Below are 17,458 nucleotides of genomic sequence, written 5' to 3'. Positions count from 1 at the left end.
TTTTTTTTTTTTAGAAAAGTGTTAGCTTATGGTCGGCTATAACTCCCAAGCCCTCTTTCACTGTCCTTAGTCTTCCTGGCATTCCTCAAATGTGAGGGCTGTCCCGAGCTGTCTTTGGCCTGCTTCTCTCCTTATAGCCGCTGCTCACCACCCAGGCCTGTGGTGAACCACTGCTGCGCGAATGACCACCCAGCTGCGCCTTGGCCCAAAGCCCTCCAAACTCCACTTCTGAATTTCCAACAGGGTGTCCTGTCAATGCCTCAACCAAAACTCAGCCTCTTCCGCACCCCCAACGAGTAAAATTCTCCATGCTCCTAGATGGAAAACACAGTCATTCTGATCACTTTCTCTCTAACTCTGCCCCTGTGACAGTCTCCAACCAAATACCAAATCTGCACTGTGGATTCTTCCCGCAGTTGGTTTCGCAGCTTCATTGCCTTTCCATTCTCAAGGCCACCTCTCACCGGTGCCTTGGCCTCTCAACTGGTATTTCGGCTTCTAGATTAATTAATGGCCCTCCAGTGCTCCTTCCATCCCTTCCATCCCGTGAGCCCCACTCTGCAAGGACCCTCATGACAGACTGAGGGAAGCAGGCAGCATCAGTGCTGTCTCCCTAACGTGTGCACCACCTCACTGCATCCAGTCCTTCCAACAGTGTTTACCCACCCTCTCCCCATCTGCTGTGCACACACATGTGCACCCACACCCACACATGTGGGTTAAGAGGTCTTCCACTCTAGTCGCTTAGGGCACTCACAGTTCCCCGTGGGCATCCTTCATTTCTTCTCATCACACTAGCTTCTCACCACCATCCCCTTCTTTGCCCCTTCATTATTACCATCTGTTTAAAAAAAATTCTTCCTAGTTTTTGGTGGCCACTCTGATGTCACCCTCTCCCAATAAGCCTTCTTCAGTTGAATAAGTTGAGAATGTTCTTTCTCTGTGAAATTCCCCAGCCTCGTGGTCTTGTTGCTTATATAACACTTTAGCATATCCTGTGTCCTGCTTTATCTGGGGACATATCTTATCTCTTGGCACCACCACCACTAAACCTCCAGCTTATTGAGATACTGTCTTTATATTTTACTCCCTCCAGGAATCCAGACAGCATCTGTCATACAGTAGGCCCAATAAATATTTGTGGAACAAATGCATGCGTATTTCCAAGCCAGGTCTGTCCTATGCTAGTGCATGAAATTTTCCTAAAGTTAAGCAGAGGATTTTACATTCATCCCTGTTTAATTTTATTATGTTGGTTTTGGCCCAGCATCCCATCCTATATAAATCATTTTGAACTTGAATATGTCACGTAGCATATTAACTATCCCAGCTGTGGGTCATCTGGATTCTTTCTATTTTTCATCCAAGTCATTAACAAAAATGTTTAATAATCAGGGCCAAGGATAGAGCCCCGTGGCCTGCCACTGGAGACTTTCTTCAGGAAAGACCTGGGGTCCTTAATCAAAATACTTTGGGCAAGGTAGTTCAACCTGCACTGAATACATCTTGTCAAAAAATCCTTTGTAATACAAGTAATGTGACCACGTGAGAAATCAGAATACCCTTATTGGCATAGGAAAGCACTCAGTTGGAAAGATCAGGACTGATGTCAGCTTAGACAGGGAGAGGGGCTCTGGTCTGAATGCTTAGCCTCTTACTGTCCAATCCCCGCAGCTGTTTTAGCAGTCTCCGAATCCCACCCTGTTCAGCTCCCTAGGCAGGGGCCTCCCCACAGAGGTGTGAAAGGTAAGGAATTGTCAGGGTACAGGCAACCCAGGTATGTGGGGGGAGGAAGTGGAAGGGGAGCTCTACTCCAGACTGCTCTCCTTCCCATTTCCTACCTCCTCGTTTCATTGATCTACCTGGGTGAACTCAAAAAATACACTTGCCATCTGCTCTCCTTCCCTCCCTTTCTTTGAAATGTATGTATGTATGTATGTATGTATGTATGTATGTATGTATGTATGTATTTATTTTTTGAGACAGAGTTTCACTCTTGTTGCCCAGGCTGGAGTGCAATGGTGCGATCTTGGCTTACTGCAACTTCTGCCTCCTGGGTTCAAGCAATTCTCCTGTCTCAGCCTCCTGAGTAGGTGGGATTATAGGCGCACACCACCACACCCAGCTAATTTTGTATTTTCAGTAGAGAAAGGGTTTCTCCATGTTGGTCAGGCTGGTCTCAAACTCCTGATCTCAGGTGATCGGCCTGCCTCGGCCTCCCAAAGTGCTGAAATTACAGACGTGAGCCACCGTGCCCAGCCAAAACATATTTCTTGAGCCAAGGAGACTGACTCCCTTTTTCTTGCAGGTTTTGGCTGCCCATGAGCCTGACACTTGGATTTGCTATTCTATGCCCAAGCCTCCCCTAGTCTCCCAGGTTCTAGTATGGATTTATGTGGGATACTGTTCCAGCATTGCCCCCAAGACCCAGCCTCCTACAGAAGCCCAGAGAGATTTACCGGCAGTTTTGCAGGCAGGATGCAATAACCACCCCTCTGTCAAACTCTCAGGCTGGAGGAGAACTTCAGATGTCCTCTTGTCCATCCCGTGTCCCAGTCAGAGCTGCACCAAAAGCGCAGGAGGCTGTTCTCTTCTAAATGATTATAAAAGCCTCTTTCCTTAATCAATAAACAATTACATCACACCTAATATGTGCAACGCACTAAGCACTTTACACAACCACCGACTCATTTACACCTCACAACAACCCTAGCAGGTAGGTGTTATCATTATTTCCATTTTACAAATGGAAAAACCAAGCCATGGAGAGGTCACAAGCTAGTAAATGGCAAAGTCAAACTCAAACCCAGCCATATGGCTCTCTGTGTGTGCTCTTAGCCCTTAAGCCATTGCACTGCCTCCCCATGAGGCATATGAAGCCTGCATTCCTGCATCTACTCACAGGATGTGTTGAATATACATTATGCTCATCATTGGATGTTAGAACCTATGATGGGGATTTGCAGAGCTTACAGTTTAGCTGAACAGATACGGGAAAGTACTTTGACAATAAAGTGTGGTAGAAGTGTAAAGTATTTTTCCTATTACTGTTGCACAGCTTAAAACCTCCTTTATGCTATAAAAAGCCTCTTTGTCCTATATTGGAAAGGTTCACTTTGCTCATGTGCACCAATGTCACCCTCTTTGCCTTCCCTTCTGCCACCTTCCACTAGGCACAGAGAGCGCCAGTGCTTTCTTACAGAAGACACGCTCAGGGTTGTTACAATTTTTCACAATATCAGTTTAATAAATACTAATAACACCACCACCATGCATTTGTGAAATAATTGAACGCTTCAAGGTACTTTCATAAGATATTTATTACATGCATAATCTTACTTCCTTTTCAAAATAACCTTGGAAGGTAGGTAAAGCAGGTATCGGTTTTACAGAGCACGGAACTGACCGGGATCCTGAGGCTGGTAACTGACCCTGAACCTAAAACCCAGGATTGATGGTCTTTCTCTGCATGGCATCCCCCTTGATCTACTACAAAATCAATAATCAGGCAAAGAAAGCCTTAAGGGAGCAGAGGGCTGTCTGTTGCTACCATTTCTTCAAATTCTACTGCCTAATTCCAATGTTACTCACAGGCCGACTTTCACCAACTCCTTCCTTAGGGACAAAAGGTAGGGCTTATGTACAAGCCTTATGGGAAAGAATGGTGATTCTAAGTGTTATATAACTGCATGTAGAAAAAAGACATAGATTCCCTTTCACCAAGGGGGAGTGCATTCCAATCAAAAGGCGTAGACAATTCCATGCTGCTCACATAGCCACAAAGACGTTCACCTCCCAAGAGCCACCTAGGCTATAAGTTGCAACTCCTGGTGGCATGCTCCATGGAATTGGCTGTTCCAGGACTAAGAAACTTGAGAAACAGTCTAAACAGATGCCCTTAACGCTTATGTTTATATTTCTCTGATATATTTTCCTGCATATCTGCACCCCTAGCTTCTCGTTCAAACCTACTTGCCTCTCTCAATCACCCCCAAAGCATGAAGAACAGCTGACATCATTGAAAACATTATTTGTGCTTATGAAGCAGTTTTCATTTCAATCTGCAAGAACATCTCCGACCACAAAAGCCGTGTAAGACTCAAGCGAATGAGCCCTGAGTGGTGCAGATAAACACTTTCTCCCTCGGCTTTCCCCCTCTTGTCAGCCTGAAAGACACAGTCTTACTTCCAGACACAGCTCAAAGATCGTCTGCTTTGTGAAGGCTTCTAAGACTCTATCAGGCCACTAACAATGTTTGTGAAGTACTTCTAGCTCTCATCATTTGGAGGCCATGAGAGGATGGTACTTCCTGCCCCTATGGTTAATTGGAGCCATGTGGATAGTTAGGAACCTTCCAAAAGAGAGCATTTAATGGCCAGCGTGAGTCTTCCAGAACTTTCCTTCCTTCTGCCATGACAACAAGCAAAGGGGTAGCTGCTCCCACAGCTTAGGTCTCAGAGGGAGGACAAGAAATGAGCCAGAGCAGAGCCCCCAGCCAACCCTCAATGGACTTGCAGCAGGGGTGAAAAGTAAACCTTTGTTGTTTTCAGCCACTAAGATTGTGGCATGGTTACAGCAACACTAGCCTGTCCTGTTATTTATGCAACAGGACTGTTTACTCACTGCCTTTTCAGAACCAATCACACTGTTTTGTAATCACTTCTTTCATTTATGTCCCCTCTTTACCTTCAGACTGTATGAATCTTGAGGGCAAGGATTGTGTCTTATTCTTATTTTTTTGAGACAGAGTTTCACTCTTGTTGACCAGGCTGGAGTGCAATGGCGCGATCTCGGCTCACCGCAAACTTCACCTCCCAGGTTCAAGCGATTCTCCTGCCTCAGCCTCCTGAGTATCTGGGATTACAGGCATGCACCACCATGCCCGGCTAATTTTGTATTTTTAGTAGAGACGGGGTTTCTTCATGTTGGTCAGGGTGGTCTCAAACTCCCGACCTTCTGTGATCCACCTGCCTCGGCCTCCCAAAGTGCTGAGATTACAGGAGTGAGCCATTGCACCCAGCCAGGATTGGTCTTATTAATTTGCATTTGGTAGCGTCTTGGTGCATCTCTAAATAAATGAATGAAGGGATTAATGAAAGAATAAGATATTTAAGAATAGGATTTTATAATCTTGCTAGGCATGATCCTTTACAATGGTGGTGGTGATCCTAGATAATCTCGAGTGGCTCTTCCCAGCCTGCTTACACCATAGTTATCTCCCTGAAAAGTGACCAGATGAGTTGGGGGTGATCCTCATGGCTTCATGGAAATGCTCCATAGCGGCCTGGAGACAGACTTCCCCTCCCAACTGCAGCTCTCTGAACAGAGAATTATAGCTGAGACCCAGGCACTAGGGGTATGGATGACACAGCTGTATATACGGGCTACCTAAGAGGCAGGAAATTAGTCACACAACAGGTGTCAATAAATATTCCTTGGTAATTTGCACCCAAGGCACTAGTGGGGGCTCGGGGGGTGGTTATAATATAGCTTAACAATAACCCAGGATTCACTCCTCCAATCCCCAAGTTCTTTACCTTTATATGGATAGCAGGTTGACTGCGATAGTGGGGTGAATGGTGACCCCCTAAAAGTTATGATAACTTCCTAGACAGGCACAGTGTTTAATGCCTGTAATCCCAGCGCTTCAGGAGGCTGTGGTGGGAGGATCACTTGAGCCCAAGAGTTCAAGACCAGTCTGGGCAACATAGTGAGACCTCGTCTCTACTAAAAATACAAACATTACCTGGGTGTGGTGGTGCACGCCTATAGTCCAGCTACTCAGGAGGATGAGGTGAGAGGATCACTTAAGCCCTGGAAGGTTGAGGCTGCAGTGAGCCATGATTGTGCCACTGCATTCCAGCCTGGGCAACAGAGCAAGACCCTGTCTTGAGGAGGAAAAAAAAAGATATGCTCACTTCCTAATCCCTGGAACCTGTGAATGTTACCTTATGTGCAAAAACAGTCTTAGCAGAGGTAGTTACCAATTTTGAGATGAAGAGATCATCCTGGATTATCAACGTAGGTCCTGATCCAATGACACAGGTCCTTATAAGAGACACACAGAGGAGAAGGTGTGGCAAAGATGAGGCAGACTGGAGTGATGTGGCCACAAGTCAAGGAAGCTGGCAACCACCAGGAGCCAAAAGAAACATGGAATGGAGCCGCCCCTCGAGCCTTAGTGGGGAATGAGGTCCTGCTGACACTCTGCTTTTAGACATCCGGCCTCCAGAACCATGAAAGGAGACGTTTCTGTTGTTTTGAGCCACCCAGTTTGTGGTAATCTGTTACGGCAGCAGCCCTCGCAAACTCATACACCTGCCAACTCCACTGGCATCAGATTCTCCACCTGGGCAGCACTTCCGCACTGTATAGCAGCCTGGAGTGCCAGGCATCTCTTTGAGTCTCCCATTTGTTTCCCCAAGGAAAACAAGCATTTGGAATCATCCTTGTTCTTCTCCTCTCCAGTACTTAAATTCAGGCCTTTGTGAGGGGATTCAGGCATGACTGGACAACAGGGGCCAAGGGGCTCCCCCAGAAAGACCCCTTGAGGGCATCGGAGAAAGTAAGCCTAGTAGAACAAGGCGTGGCGCTGCAGCTAGGGTAGCTGGGCCCTCCTAGCCTCAGCTCTGGGTCTCTTGGCATTTGTTAAAACAATGAGAATGGGCCGGGCATCATGGCTCATGCCTGTAATCCCAGCACTTTGGGAGGCCAAGGCAGGTGGATCACCTGAGGTCAGGAGTTCAAGACCAGCCTGGCCAACATGGTGAAACCCCGTCTCTATTAAAAAATACAAAAATTAGCTGAGCACAGTGGCAGGCGCCTGTAATACCAGCTACTTGGGAGGCTGAGGCAGGAGAATCGTTTGAACCAGGGAGGTGGAGGTTGCAGTGAGCCGAGATTGCACCATTGCGCTCCAGCCTGGGAGACAGAGCAAGACTCCACCTCAAAACAAACAAACAAAGAAAAAAAAAACAATGAGAATGAAAATGGTTCTTCTCCCTACCCACCCTATCCCCACAGATAGTAGTGCTTGCTAGGGAAGACCTAGAGAGCTGAGCACCACTGTGTGGAGGACTTCAGAGAGCCAAGAAGACAATACACAAAAATGCAAAATCAATAAAGTCATTATATATGAGTTCATTTGAACATGCGGGTCAAAGGCGTCCTAGTGTGCTGGGAGTCAGAGGACCTTTTTGTTTGTTTGTTTTTGTTTTTGCTTTTTGTTTGTTTGTTTGTTTTGAGACGGAGTCTCCCTGTGTCACCCAGGCTGGAGTGCAGTGGCGTGATCTCTGCTCACTGCAACCTCCGCTTCCCGGGTTCACGCCATTCTCCTGCCTCAGCCTCCCAAGTAGCTGGGACTACAGGTGCCTGCCACCATGCCTGGCTAATTTTTTGTATTTTTAGTAGAGATGGGGTTTTATCGTGTTAGCCAGGATGGTCTCAATCTCCTGACCTCGTGATCCGCCCTCCTTGCCCTCCCAAAGAGCTGGGATTACAGGCATAAGCCACCGCCCCCGACCAGGACCTTGGTTTTAACTCTTGACTTGGCTACTAACTGACTTTAAGTACGACCATTGGTAAATTGCTTATGTTCAATTTCGTCATCTTTAAAATGAAGGGGATGGAAGAAATTGCTATGGTTCTTTCTTGCTCTCAAAACTCCAAAGCCCTAAAAATGAATTTGGAAAAGTCTTCCTGTTTTGCTTTAGGTGTGGGCACCAGTTTCACCCAGAGACACAACTGGGGCCTTTCAGAAGTCTTTTAGCTGTGCAGAGGAGGGCTCGGAGTAAACCTGTGCCAGGCCTTACAAGCACCAAGCCTTGAGCTGGCTGGCCTCCACCACAGCCTGGCCTGAGCTGGAGGAAGACTGGCCAGGCTGAGGAGCCTGTTGTCTCCCCGAGAGCCCACACAGGTGCTGTGGGGGAAGCCAGAGTTTCTCCAGAGCAAGAGGAAGAACAGGGACAGGATCCCACCGGATAGGGTAGGTTCAAATGTTAGAAGGTTGGTAATTACCTTCTAGACCCTGGGCACATCATTTAAGCATCTCAAAGCCTCAGCATCCTTTCCTAGAAGACATAATATGACTTTATGAAGATTAAAAGAAATAAATCTGTGCACAGCATCTATATATAGTAGGCATTCAACAAGTGGTAGTAATTACCATGACAACAAGCTTTAGGTCTCTCCCACACTGACATCGGTGTGGCTGCTCAGAAATGAATTTCCCATTATTCATCAAAACATATCTGTAAAGGATGACAAGCCAGGAACCTGAATCCTGGGAATGTGCTTCAGAGATGGAGGTCGTGGTGGGCAGCCCAGCAGGGTGGGAAAAGCGTACATTTAGCTCACGCATTGGGAATGAACTATTGAAGGTGGAGGGTCTAGCGGGGAGGCTCAGAGGAGGCCCAAAGCCTGCTGCGGCACATTGTGAGATGCAAATTCTCTGTGACCTGTGGCGTGGGTGCTGGATTGTGCAATAGCAGCCACAAGGCCCAGCGGCACTGCTTACTGGGTTTGGGCTGATGCATGTGGTTGGCTGCTGCTCTACAGTCCACCCTGGTGCATCCCTTGTCTGCCTCTGGGCAAGCAGGAGAAACGCTGACTTTTCAGGGAGTGTACAGGAAGTGTGGCCATAGTGGAAGGAATGAGCGGGGCTGCAGGTGGAAGTGTGAGTGGGAACAGAAGGGGTGTGTGTGTGTGTGTGTGTGTGTGTGTGTGTGTGGTCTATTCCTAGAGCCCTCTTTCTGTCAGAGAAGGTAGGAGGACTTGGGGTGGCTTTTTGGTGAGCTTGAACAAAGGCATTCCCTCGGGACCTGGAGCCTATTTCAAATCAACTTCTCTAGCAGGAGCCTTTGGGGCAGGCCCCAGGCAGGCATGTGCTGCCATTAGATTGAGGTCTCCTGTGTGTTCTGCACCCTAGGGCTGCCAGGAGGTGGGGGAAGAGCAGCACTTGTGGAGGAATCCCCAGCACAGGAAGCTAGTTTTCTCTACCTTGTATTAGAGGAGCTTTTGAACGCCCACATACCTTAGAACTTATCAAGATTCTATCTTGCATGTTTTTATGTCATGTCATTTGGGTATATCTTGTTTCCCCAAATAGAATGAGTTCCTTTTAGGGCAGGAACTGCAACTTACATTTCCTGTACTCCCCATCTAGTCCTCAAATATCTTTATCTTGCTTTATCCTCCAGGAATGAACTACTTATTATTTCCCATGCACACCGTGCTGTTTCTTGCACCAGTAGCTTTGCTCTTGTCACTCTTTCTGATTGGAATGCTCTTCCCAATTTTCTGCCCTTGGTTAACTCTTACTCACCCCTCAAGATTCAACTCAGAAATTATTTTTAGCAGGAAGCCCTCCCTGAGCCCCAGGCTGATGCTCCTCCTCTGTGGGTGTAAGCTCTCATCCCTGCTCTGCAATAATCTGTTTAGGTGTTTGTCTCCCCTCTTAGACTGCAAGTTCTTCAAGGGTCAGCAAGCTGGTAGATACGTACCCCTTTAGATCCGCAGTGCCTGGCAGGCAGTAAGGGCTCAGTGTGTGCTTACTGAATCTAACTAAAAACCTAGTGCATGGGCCAGGCGTGGTGGCCTGTAATCCCAGCACTTTGGGAGGCTGAGGTGGGTGGATTACCTGAGGTCAGGAGTTCAAGACCAGCCTGACCAACATGGTGAAACCTCATCTCTACTAAAAACACAAAATTAGCCGAGTGTGGTGGTGCATGCCTGTAATCCCAGCTACTTGGGAGGCTGAGGCAGGAGAATTGCCTGAACCCGGGAGGAGGTTGCAGTGAGCTGAGATAGTGCCATTGTACTCTAGCCTGGGCAACAAGAGCAAAACTCCGTCTAAAAACAAACAAACAAACAAAAAAAAACAAAAAGAAGCTAGTGCATGGCATGCCGTGAATCATTAATGATTAATTATAAAAGATTCAGCCTGGGAAAGAGTAGTGATTGCTACCTCGAGGCCAGGAGGTTGGCCCTGACATGGTACAAACAGGTTCAAAACAAAGGGCTGGAGACATCTATGATGCTGACTCAAATTTTTGGCTGGAGATAATGTCTGTTCCAATGTCCAGAATTTCTCAGTGCCCCCACCTGACTGCTCTAGCTTGGAGGCTTCTAATACTATTCATTAAGGATAGGCTCTAATGGCATCTCAGAGGGGTCTCTTACAGAGGTAAGGGCCCTGCACCTCTCTTAGGGACTCATTGGGATTTGGAATTGCACTGGCTGGAGGCCCTTCCCATGGAATAGGATTTGATCCATTCAAATAAATGGCTCTACAGGGTGAGCCTCATGGGCTTAGCCAGCTGTTTCCACAATTCCCAGGAGATGGGTATTCAGGAAGCTCCAAAGGAAAAAAACGGGAGGCTGACTGCCCAGAAGACCAAAGAACCAGGACAGTGTTCATTCGGGTCTGGCTCTGGTGATGAGCTTCAGGAGATTCCTAGGGCAATCCTGTTGATAGTGGCAACTCAGTGTTCATCCTGTGTCCGAAGCATTACTGAAACTTTGCTGCTACAAGAACCATCCTTCTGTCTTACTTCTGAAGGCTTGGGTTGAACTACTCCCCAGGTAAGAGAAAAATTGCAAGCTGTTGGCTTTCCAAAAGTCCAATAGTGCCTAAATCCTCAAGATACCTCTTGGTGAGTTGGTTTATCCCTTTACCATATGGCAGAGGGCAGTTAAAGATTGTTTTATTTCACCCAGAGCTCTGAGATTTTTAGATTCTAATGAGTTGAATAGGGTTGGTCAGGCTGGCTCCACAGACTTAAATATTATTACTGGAGAAAAGCGGAGCTGCCTTCAGATTTCTCTGGAACCAAAATGCTTTCTCTTGCGGCCCTGATAAGATTACCGGGCTGCTGAGCCGCCAGTGTTCAGATTTCCCACGGAACCGCGCGCGCCAAGCTCTGGCTCGCAGTGCTGTGAGGAGCCACGCTGCGGATCAGGCTCTGAAACCCGACTCCTTTCCAGGAATGCACATTCACCCCCTCCTGTGATAGGGCCTGGGCTGGGCCCTTAGAGTCTCACTCCCCAAATTCCCCCTGTCGTCGCAGTCCAACAAATGGAAGATGTCTGCTGAGTGGGGGCCAGTGTGAGGGTGAGGGTCCCACAGAACACGCGGGAGCCAGAGAGGAATGTGGGGTATTTGGGCATGCCACAAGTCCACCGAGCCAAACTCTAGCTTCAGAGGCTGTGCAATTCCTAATTACGGCCCATCAGCTCCAACCAGCAGCCAACATATGGCTCAGTGAGAGGGTGGGTGGGTCAAAAAACAGCGAGGCTGTGGGTGTTTCTCCTAGTGTTTCACGGTGAAATATCAAAATAATCTTTTTAAGATTTGGATTCGTTACATGTTTCTCTTCTATCTCCTAGTCCCATAATTTTAAAAAATGTGGTAGAAAATGTTTACTGAAGTAAAAAGATATGGATGAAAAAGTAGGTCACAAAACAAACACATTATATACACCAATATGTACACACACACACACACACACACACACACACTCTCATCATAGTAATACTGACAGTCTGTGAGAATGTAAAGACATGAGAGCTCCATAATTTTTAAGTAACATTTAAAATACAAGATCTGGTATGTAATAAGGGCCCAATAAATACTGAGTAGGTCCATGAATGACAAATAATATCTGGGAATGATTTGCAGTTACCCCAGAGAAAAGGATTCATTTATTGTCTCCACCTAAGTTAGAAATTTATGACTTTTTTTCAGTGCCATGATGTGCCTACAATTTAGTTGAACAAACAAAGGATTTAGTCAGCGAAAATTATACTTTTTTTCAAGTGCCCTCAGGCTATTGGCAGTGCACACAATTTATATTTAAGTGACTAACAGTATTAACTTAAATGTGACATCATACGCCTCCAGCTCCTTCTTTACACACCTCTGTCCTCTGGGTTCCTATCCACAATAGCATTACCTATTATCTCTTCTAGAGGAGAATCACATTTGTATCATAACAGGTTTGTATTTCTTAGGGAGTGGTGGACATTCTGCTTAGAACAATCAAAACCAACATATCTAAACACTGCTTGTTAAAAAAAAAAACCCTGATCTTCCTTCCCTCTTCAATATTTGCTCATGCAACAAGCCTTTCTTGGTGCCCATTAGGCTCTAAATATATAAGACATGGCCCCTGCCCTCAAGGAGCCTTCCGGGGTGACAGTTAGGGAGGCTGACAGTTCCAGTTCTGCCTAGTGTTCTAATAGTGGCTTGAACAAAGTGCTCTGAGAGTGCTGTAGAGTCTGGGGGCTTCACAGAAGCCTTCCAGAGGTGGAGACGTTTGAGCTACAGACCGAGAGGGGAAGGAGTTCCCTATTTATGCTAATCATTTATCAAGCAAACTTTTATTGAGAAATTATATGACTATATGCCAGGCACCGTGCTCATTCTGGAGACTCAAAGACCAATGAGAAAATCTGCCTGCAAAAGGCTTTGTATGGAGCTGTAAAAGTTGGTACTGCCATTTTCCCTGGCACCATAGAGAACTTCACTCTTCTGGGCAGCTTGGTGATTTCTGACTTCCCTTCCAGCGCATGGTCTTTACTCTTTTCCATCTTCTCCATTCTTATTGTATCCTGAAGTCAGAATATACCTGTACTGGAAAAGATGCTTTCTCACCTGGTTCCCTTGCTCACTCCATGAAGTGGCATTTTTGCTGTATCATCCCGGCTACATCACTGCTGCCAGCTGCCTCAACACCTCTCAGAGTTTCCTACTGTCCATGGAGCAGAATCCAGGGCCATACAACTCTGGCCTTCAAGAGTTGCAGATGGCCTCTGCATGAATTAGAAAAAGCCACCCGTTTGAGGCTCAACTAGGCAAGGAGATTTTGTATGAACAAAAAGTAACCTTTTCCTCCAAGTGACTTGGATTTCAGCTCCCACTCACCCACTTAGCTGGGCATCTACTATACTCAGTGACCTTGGATTTATCTTATTACTTTCATTTTTTTCTGTTACTGCTTTCCTACCTTCCTTCCCAGCCAGCTGGACAAAGCTGGCATGTTCTCCCTGTGCCCATCCCTTATACCTTCTCCACCTTACCCACATCTTTCTTCCAAGGCTTCTTCTGAACCTAATCTAGTCTGAACTCCTGCAGAACTCATGATCTGCAGCAGTATTCAACTGGCATTTATGCATTTGAAGATTATATATGTGACAGGATATAGTCCCTTTATTGGGTTGTGAGCTTTTAAAAGGCAGGGATCAGATGGCATCTATACTTTGTTTATTCCACAGGGCTTTATGAGGGATGAAGATTGATGTTGTTGATAATGGTAACAGTGACTTTAAAAAAAGATCTCTCAAAGACTTCCAATAATACGTGAGCTTTAGAGAATGAATATTGAGTAACCCTCTTTGGTCTGGTTTGGATTCCTAGTACTGAGAAGTAATATAACTTAATTTCTTTCCAGATACAGTAGCCCTTTCATGTCCCAAAACTGAGTTTCACCTCTCAAAAGAGGGTTTTACTCTGAGATTTTCAGAAACCCCCAAATCCAACTCCTGCATATCATGCTTCACCATGAAAAGTTTACTTCCTGGCTAAGAATGGTCACTTCCCTGGCCCCTAGATTTCCTCTTTACTTTCTTCACTAGCAGTTGCATGTTGTTTTTTTGTTTGTTTGTTTCATTTTTGTTGTTTTTTGTTTTCCAGGCATTTGGACAAAGAAACTTCAAAAGCAGCCACTGTCCAACCAGCAAATTGATGGACTAGGCTTAGTGACCTACTGGATGTGAGACGCAGGGTGATTTGTCAGGCTTCTGGCTGGCTGAGCTATTCCCTCCCTGCGTCCCTCCCAAACCCTAGCACGGGAGTGATTTTGGTATCTTGGTGGAATCCTGCATAAGTTACTACACATCTCAATAAGGGAGGGCCTTCTCTTTTACTGCAATCCCCTCCACCCCCCAAGCCACACAGGAAGTTGCTCAGCTGATAGTTTCAGGGCCTCTGCCATACACTATTCCTTCCTCATCTGAGGGGGGAGAAACTGCCTCTGTGGAAGGAGACCCTCCTTGTTTTCCTAGAACAAAGTTGACACTTGCATTTGGCCCTCCAGCAGCAACCTGCTTGAAGTCTAAGAGTTGCTTTTCTCTTATCTCCAATCCTTTTCTTCAAGAGGTTAGACAGGCCATACATCATAGTGAATCTGCAGCCTGGGGCCTAAGGCAGTTTGTACACTTCCAGAAGAGGGAAGCCACTTCTAAAACAATTTCTTAAGGAGACTTCACCCAACCCAAGAAGCTGGGTGTTGCCTGGGCCATTTCCCTCCTCTGCCCTGAAGCAGTGGCCAGCTCAGAGAGAACCCTGTTGTTTTGTGTTTGTGTGATCTTTGGGTGGATGTGTGCACACCACCTGCTGAGCTTCGCTGTGTGCGTGCCTCACCGCCAGCCCTAATCTGCCAGAGCTTCCTGGCCTTGCAAATGTTTCTGTGGAGGGTCCATATTAGACTCCAGTGGTTCTTGCAGTCTATAAAGTCTCCTTGAAGGTGATTCCCTGTTCCTTGAAGACAACTGGCTGGGCTGGATGCCTGAATATAGCTCCCTGACTTCTCTAAAGGACAAACTTATTGCCCCTTTAGAGAAGTCATGAAGCTTTGCCGGCAAGCACAGAGTCTAGCTTAGAAAACACAACCAGGGCCAGGAGTGGTGTGGCTCATGCCTGCAAATCCAGCACTTTGGGAGGCCAAGGCTTAGAGGATCACTTGAGCCCAGGAGTTCAAGACCAGCATGGGTAATATAGTGAGAACTTGTCTCTACAAAAAATTTTAAAACTAGCCAGGCATGGTGGTACACACTGGTAGTCCCAGCCACTTGGGAGGCTGAGGTGGGAGGATCCTTTGAGCCTGGGAGGCAGAGGTTGCAGTGAGCTGAGATTGTGCCACTGCACTCCAGCCTGGGTAACAGAATGAGACCCTGTCTCAAAAGAAAAAAATAAAAAGACCACCAGGGCCCAGGCACAGAGCCTGGAGCGGGGAAGAGATAGCGGAGTTAACTGTGAATCCTGATTGCACTGACCACAGTCTAGTGAGCAACACATGTTTCCTTTTGAATATGAGTGGGAATCACCTTTAAAACTATATAACATTTGCATCTTCTCAAAAGCCCCAGGTCCTACTAAGATTGACTTAGGGCTACATATCAGGTCTCATTTTCAAGGAGGAAACACAGGGAAGCCTCAAGATGTGCAGAAGAGAGGGATGTGGGGAATACACCCAACCACTCCTCTGCTGAGGTTGGAACAGAACAAGGAAAGTCCCCGGACCTCCTCTCAGCAGGCAGAGAAGTGCGGGGCCTCCCTCTGGCAAAGCCTGCAGATGTGGCCAGCATACCTCCATACACACAGCTTCAGAGGCAAGGGTGTCCAAGGGAGTCTTAAGTTTTATCAGAAATAATGTCATTCGACTGACCAGTAAGGGGAGCTTTCAGAAAGTTATGGAAGAAGATGCGACAGACACAGGAAGGACTTCAGAAGCAAGAAGACAACTGGACTCTCTAAAATGCCACTCCGAAAGCGAAAAGGGAAGCCCACAGACCCACGAAGACGTGCTGGCCTCGTGTTGCCAGTTCTGTTTCTCTTTCAATACCCATCTCTTCAGATTGAAGGGCTTCTGCCTTCTTGCAGTTTTTGCTGACACGTTTACCCATTTACAAACCTTGGCTGCACCTAACTTTTTTTTTTTTTTTTTTTTTTTTTTTTTTTTAGCATTTAAGTTCCTAGCCAAAATACCCGGGCCTCTAGGAAAGCCCTTTTCTCTCCCTCTGAGATCTTTCCTTACCAACCCCAGCCTCCCAACCCGGGTGTCCTAGGTGGGACCAGGGACGATCCTTCGGAGTTGGTCAAGGAGGCGTCGGAACAGCAGGCATTTGCCCTTCTAGTTGGCAGCAGCGATGAGCCGCGTGCTCCATGCTCAGGGCAGGGGCAGCCGCCCGGGGAAGGGGCGCCCGATACACCGCTCACCGCTCAGCCCCGCGTCTCCCTCCGGGGTCCTTTACCTCCATGTCCTTCAGGTGCCGACTCTGCGGCAGACGCACCCGCTCGCCCGGGCCGGAGCTCACGATCCCCGCTGTCCCCTCCGCTCCCGGCCGTGGCCAGTTTCGGGCTGCGGCGGGCACAGGGCGAGTGGGCGGTGGCGCGCGCCCGGCTGCGCTCGGCTGCGGGACTGCCCCGGCCGCGGGGGCCCTGCGCGAGAGAACGAGGAAGGAGGAGGAGGGAGGGAGGGAGGAAGGGGAGGGGAGGGGAGGGTGGGGAGCGGGGAGGGAGGCCGACGATCAGGGTTTAAATTTAGACGCAAATCTAAACAGATACTGTCCCTCCCAGGGCAGGACTCAAGAGCGGGAGCCACGACTCCATGTGCCCAAACATGGGGATGGGCAGCCACCGGGCCCCTCTGTCTCGCGAAGTTTCTCAGGACCCTGGGCTTTGCCACGGTCTCAGTCCTTCTCAACGTCTCCCTCCCTTAATGCGCCTTCTTTCTTTTTCCTGTCCCTTCAAGAATTAGAGTGGTCCTTTAATTCTTTTTGTTTCCTCTCTTTTCGATTTCCTTCTTTTGTGTCCATCCTTCCTGCTTTCCTTCTTCCTCTCCCTCTTTTTAAAATTGCATTACTGTCATACCTGGTTTCCCTGCAGTTCTTGGGTGGAGTTCGAGGACCCTCCCTGGTGGAAGGCGTTTGTGTTCTACCAAAAGAGGAGCCCTTCTGACCGAGGCTTCAGAGCTCAGCGTGGCGCCGACGGGACCACCTTTCCCTTCTCACCTCTTTTCCTCTCCACCTTCCAGGAAACCACTATCTATCCATCTATCCATCTATCTTCTGTATACGAGTAGAAGGAGGAGGAGGAGGAGGAAAATCAGGAATCCACGCAAAGTTTTCCAAGCTCCCTGAAGTGGTAAATCTTTTCTTCAAACCTTGCTTTGACTGATGCATTCGGTTTTGTGGGAATTTTGGCTCCCACAAGCTGCTTGCTAAAGGGCCTCGTCTCCATTCCTGTTAAATATAGCAAAGGGCAAGATGCTCAACATCTGATTCCCATAGGGCCCAGCATAGCAACCTTCCTTTAGGGCCATCCCGGCTGGGCAGCAGAGACCGCATGGGAGGGATTCGGGGACTGGAATCTGCACCAGGGTCACTCCCTGCTACCCGGATCCCGGCCCCCTTCAGACCCTTCGGCAGAGAGAAACAGGAAAATGCCTTGAGAGACCTGTGAGTGCCAGGGTATTGGCTGGGTATATGACGCCTCTGGGTTATCCCACAGCATTCTCACCCGCCCAACCCCAGCTCAACCAGGGGAGGGGAGCCCCATCAGAGGTGGGCAATGGGACAGGTGATGGTGAGCACTGTGAAGAGACATGTGGAGAAACAGTAGAGAAAAAAGGCTGAGAGTCTGCTCCTGCTACAAAGACTACCCTGATTCTGGTTATCCCGG

The 17,458-nt window shown here is 47.7% G+C and overlaps 1 protein-coding gene across 4 annotated transcripts in view, besides 6 other annotated features; it reads right to left on the bottom strand.

Moving 5' to 3' along the window:
- Nucleotides 1–16,227, bottom strand: part of RCSD1 (RCSD domain containing 1) — a 78,465-nt gene extending 62,238 nt beyond the window's left edge. For 3 of the 4 annotated variants that reach the window (NM_052862.4, NM_001322923.2, NM_001322924.2), the window contains exon 1: nt 16,030–16,227. In NM_052862.4, coding sequence (NP_443094.3) covers nt 16,030–16,035 — 6 coding nt within the window. In that variant the 5' untranslated portion in view covers nt 16,036–16,227. Of the gene's footprint in view, nt 1–3,220; nt 5,069–5,746; nt 5,889–16,029 lie in introns of those variants that run through there. The other variant, NR_136519.2, reaches the window with a different exon arrangement.
- Nucleotides 9,061–9,140: an enhancer, noted in NCBI's record as "active region_2047". NCBI's record gives its function as "activates an Ori minimal core promoter by ATAC-STARR-seq in GM12878 lymphoblastoid cells {active_cell/tissue: GM12878}" and the evidence as "EXISTENCE:reporter gene assay evidence [ECO:0000049][PMID:35858748]".
- Nucleotides 10,507–11,029: an enhancer, noted in NCBI's record as "H3K4me1 hESC enhancer chr1:167604667-167605189 (GRCh37/hg19 assembly coordinates)". NCBI's record gives its function as "activates a minimal SCP1, AML or CMV promoter by ChIP-STARR-seq in primed H9 embryonic stem cells {active_cell/tissue: H9 hESC(primed)}" and the evidence as "EXISTENCE:reporter gene assay evidence [ECO:0000049][PMID:30033119]".
- Nucleotides 11,030–11,553: an enhancer, noted in NCBI's record as "H3K4me1 hESC enhancer chr1:167604143-167604666 (GRCh37/hg19 assembly coordinates)". NCBI's record gives its function as "activates a minimal SCP1, AML or CMV promoter by ChIP-STARR-seq in primed H9 embryonic stem cells {active_cell/tissue: H9 hESC(primed)}" and the evidence as "EXISTENCE:reporter gene assay evidence [ECO:0000049][PMID:30033119]".
- Nucleotides 15,441–15,510: an enhancer, noted in NCBI's record as "active region_2046". NCBI's record gives its function as "activates an Ori minimal core promoter by ATAC-STARR-seq in GM12878 lymphoblastoid cells {active_cell/tissue: GM12878}" and the evidence as "EXISTENCE:reporter gene assay evidence [ECO:0000049][PMID:35858748]".
- Nucleotides 16,051–16,270: a silencer, noted in NCBI's record as "silent region_1532". NCBI's record gives its function as "represses an Ori minimal core promoter by ATAC-STARR-seq in GM12878 lymphoblastoid cells {active_cell/tissue: GM12878}" and the evidence as "EXISTENCE:reporter gene assay evidence [ECO:0000049][PMID:35858748]".
- Nucleotides 16,291–16,370: a silencer, noted in NCBI's record as "silent region_1531". NCBI's record gives its function as "represses an Ori minimal core promoter by ATAC-STARR-seq in GM12878 lymphoblastoid cells {active_cell/tissue: GM12878}" and the evidence as "EXISTENCE:reporter gene assay evidence [ECO:0000049][PMID:35858748]".

This window comes from Homo sapiens, chromosome 1 (assembly GCF_000001405.40).
Source record: "Homo sapiens chromosome 1, GRCh38.p14 Primary Assembly".
Lineage (NCBI taxonomy): Eukaryota > Metazoa > Chordata > Mammalia > Primates > Hominidae > Homo > Homo sapiens.
Note: the sequence above shows the minus strand (reverse complement) of the source record. Positions and strands in the feature narration are given on the sequence as shown.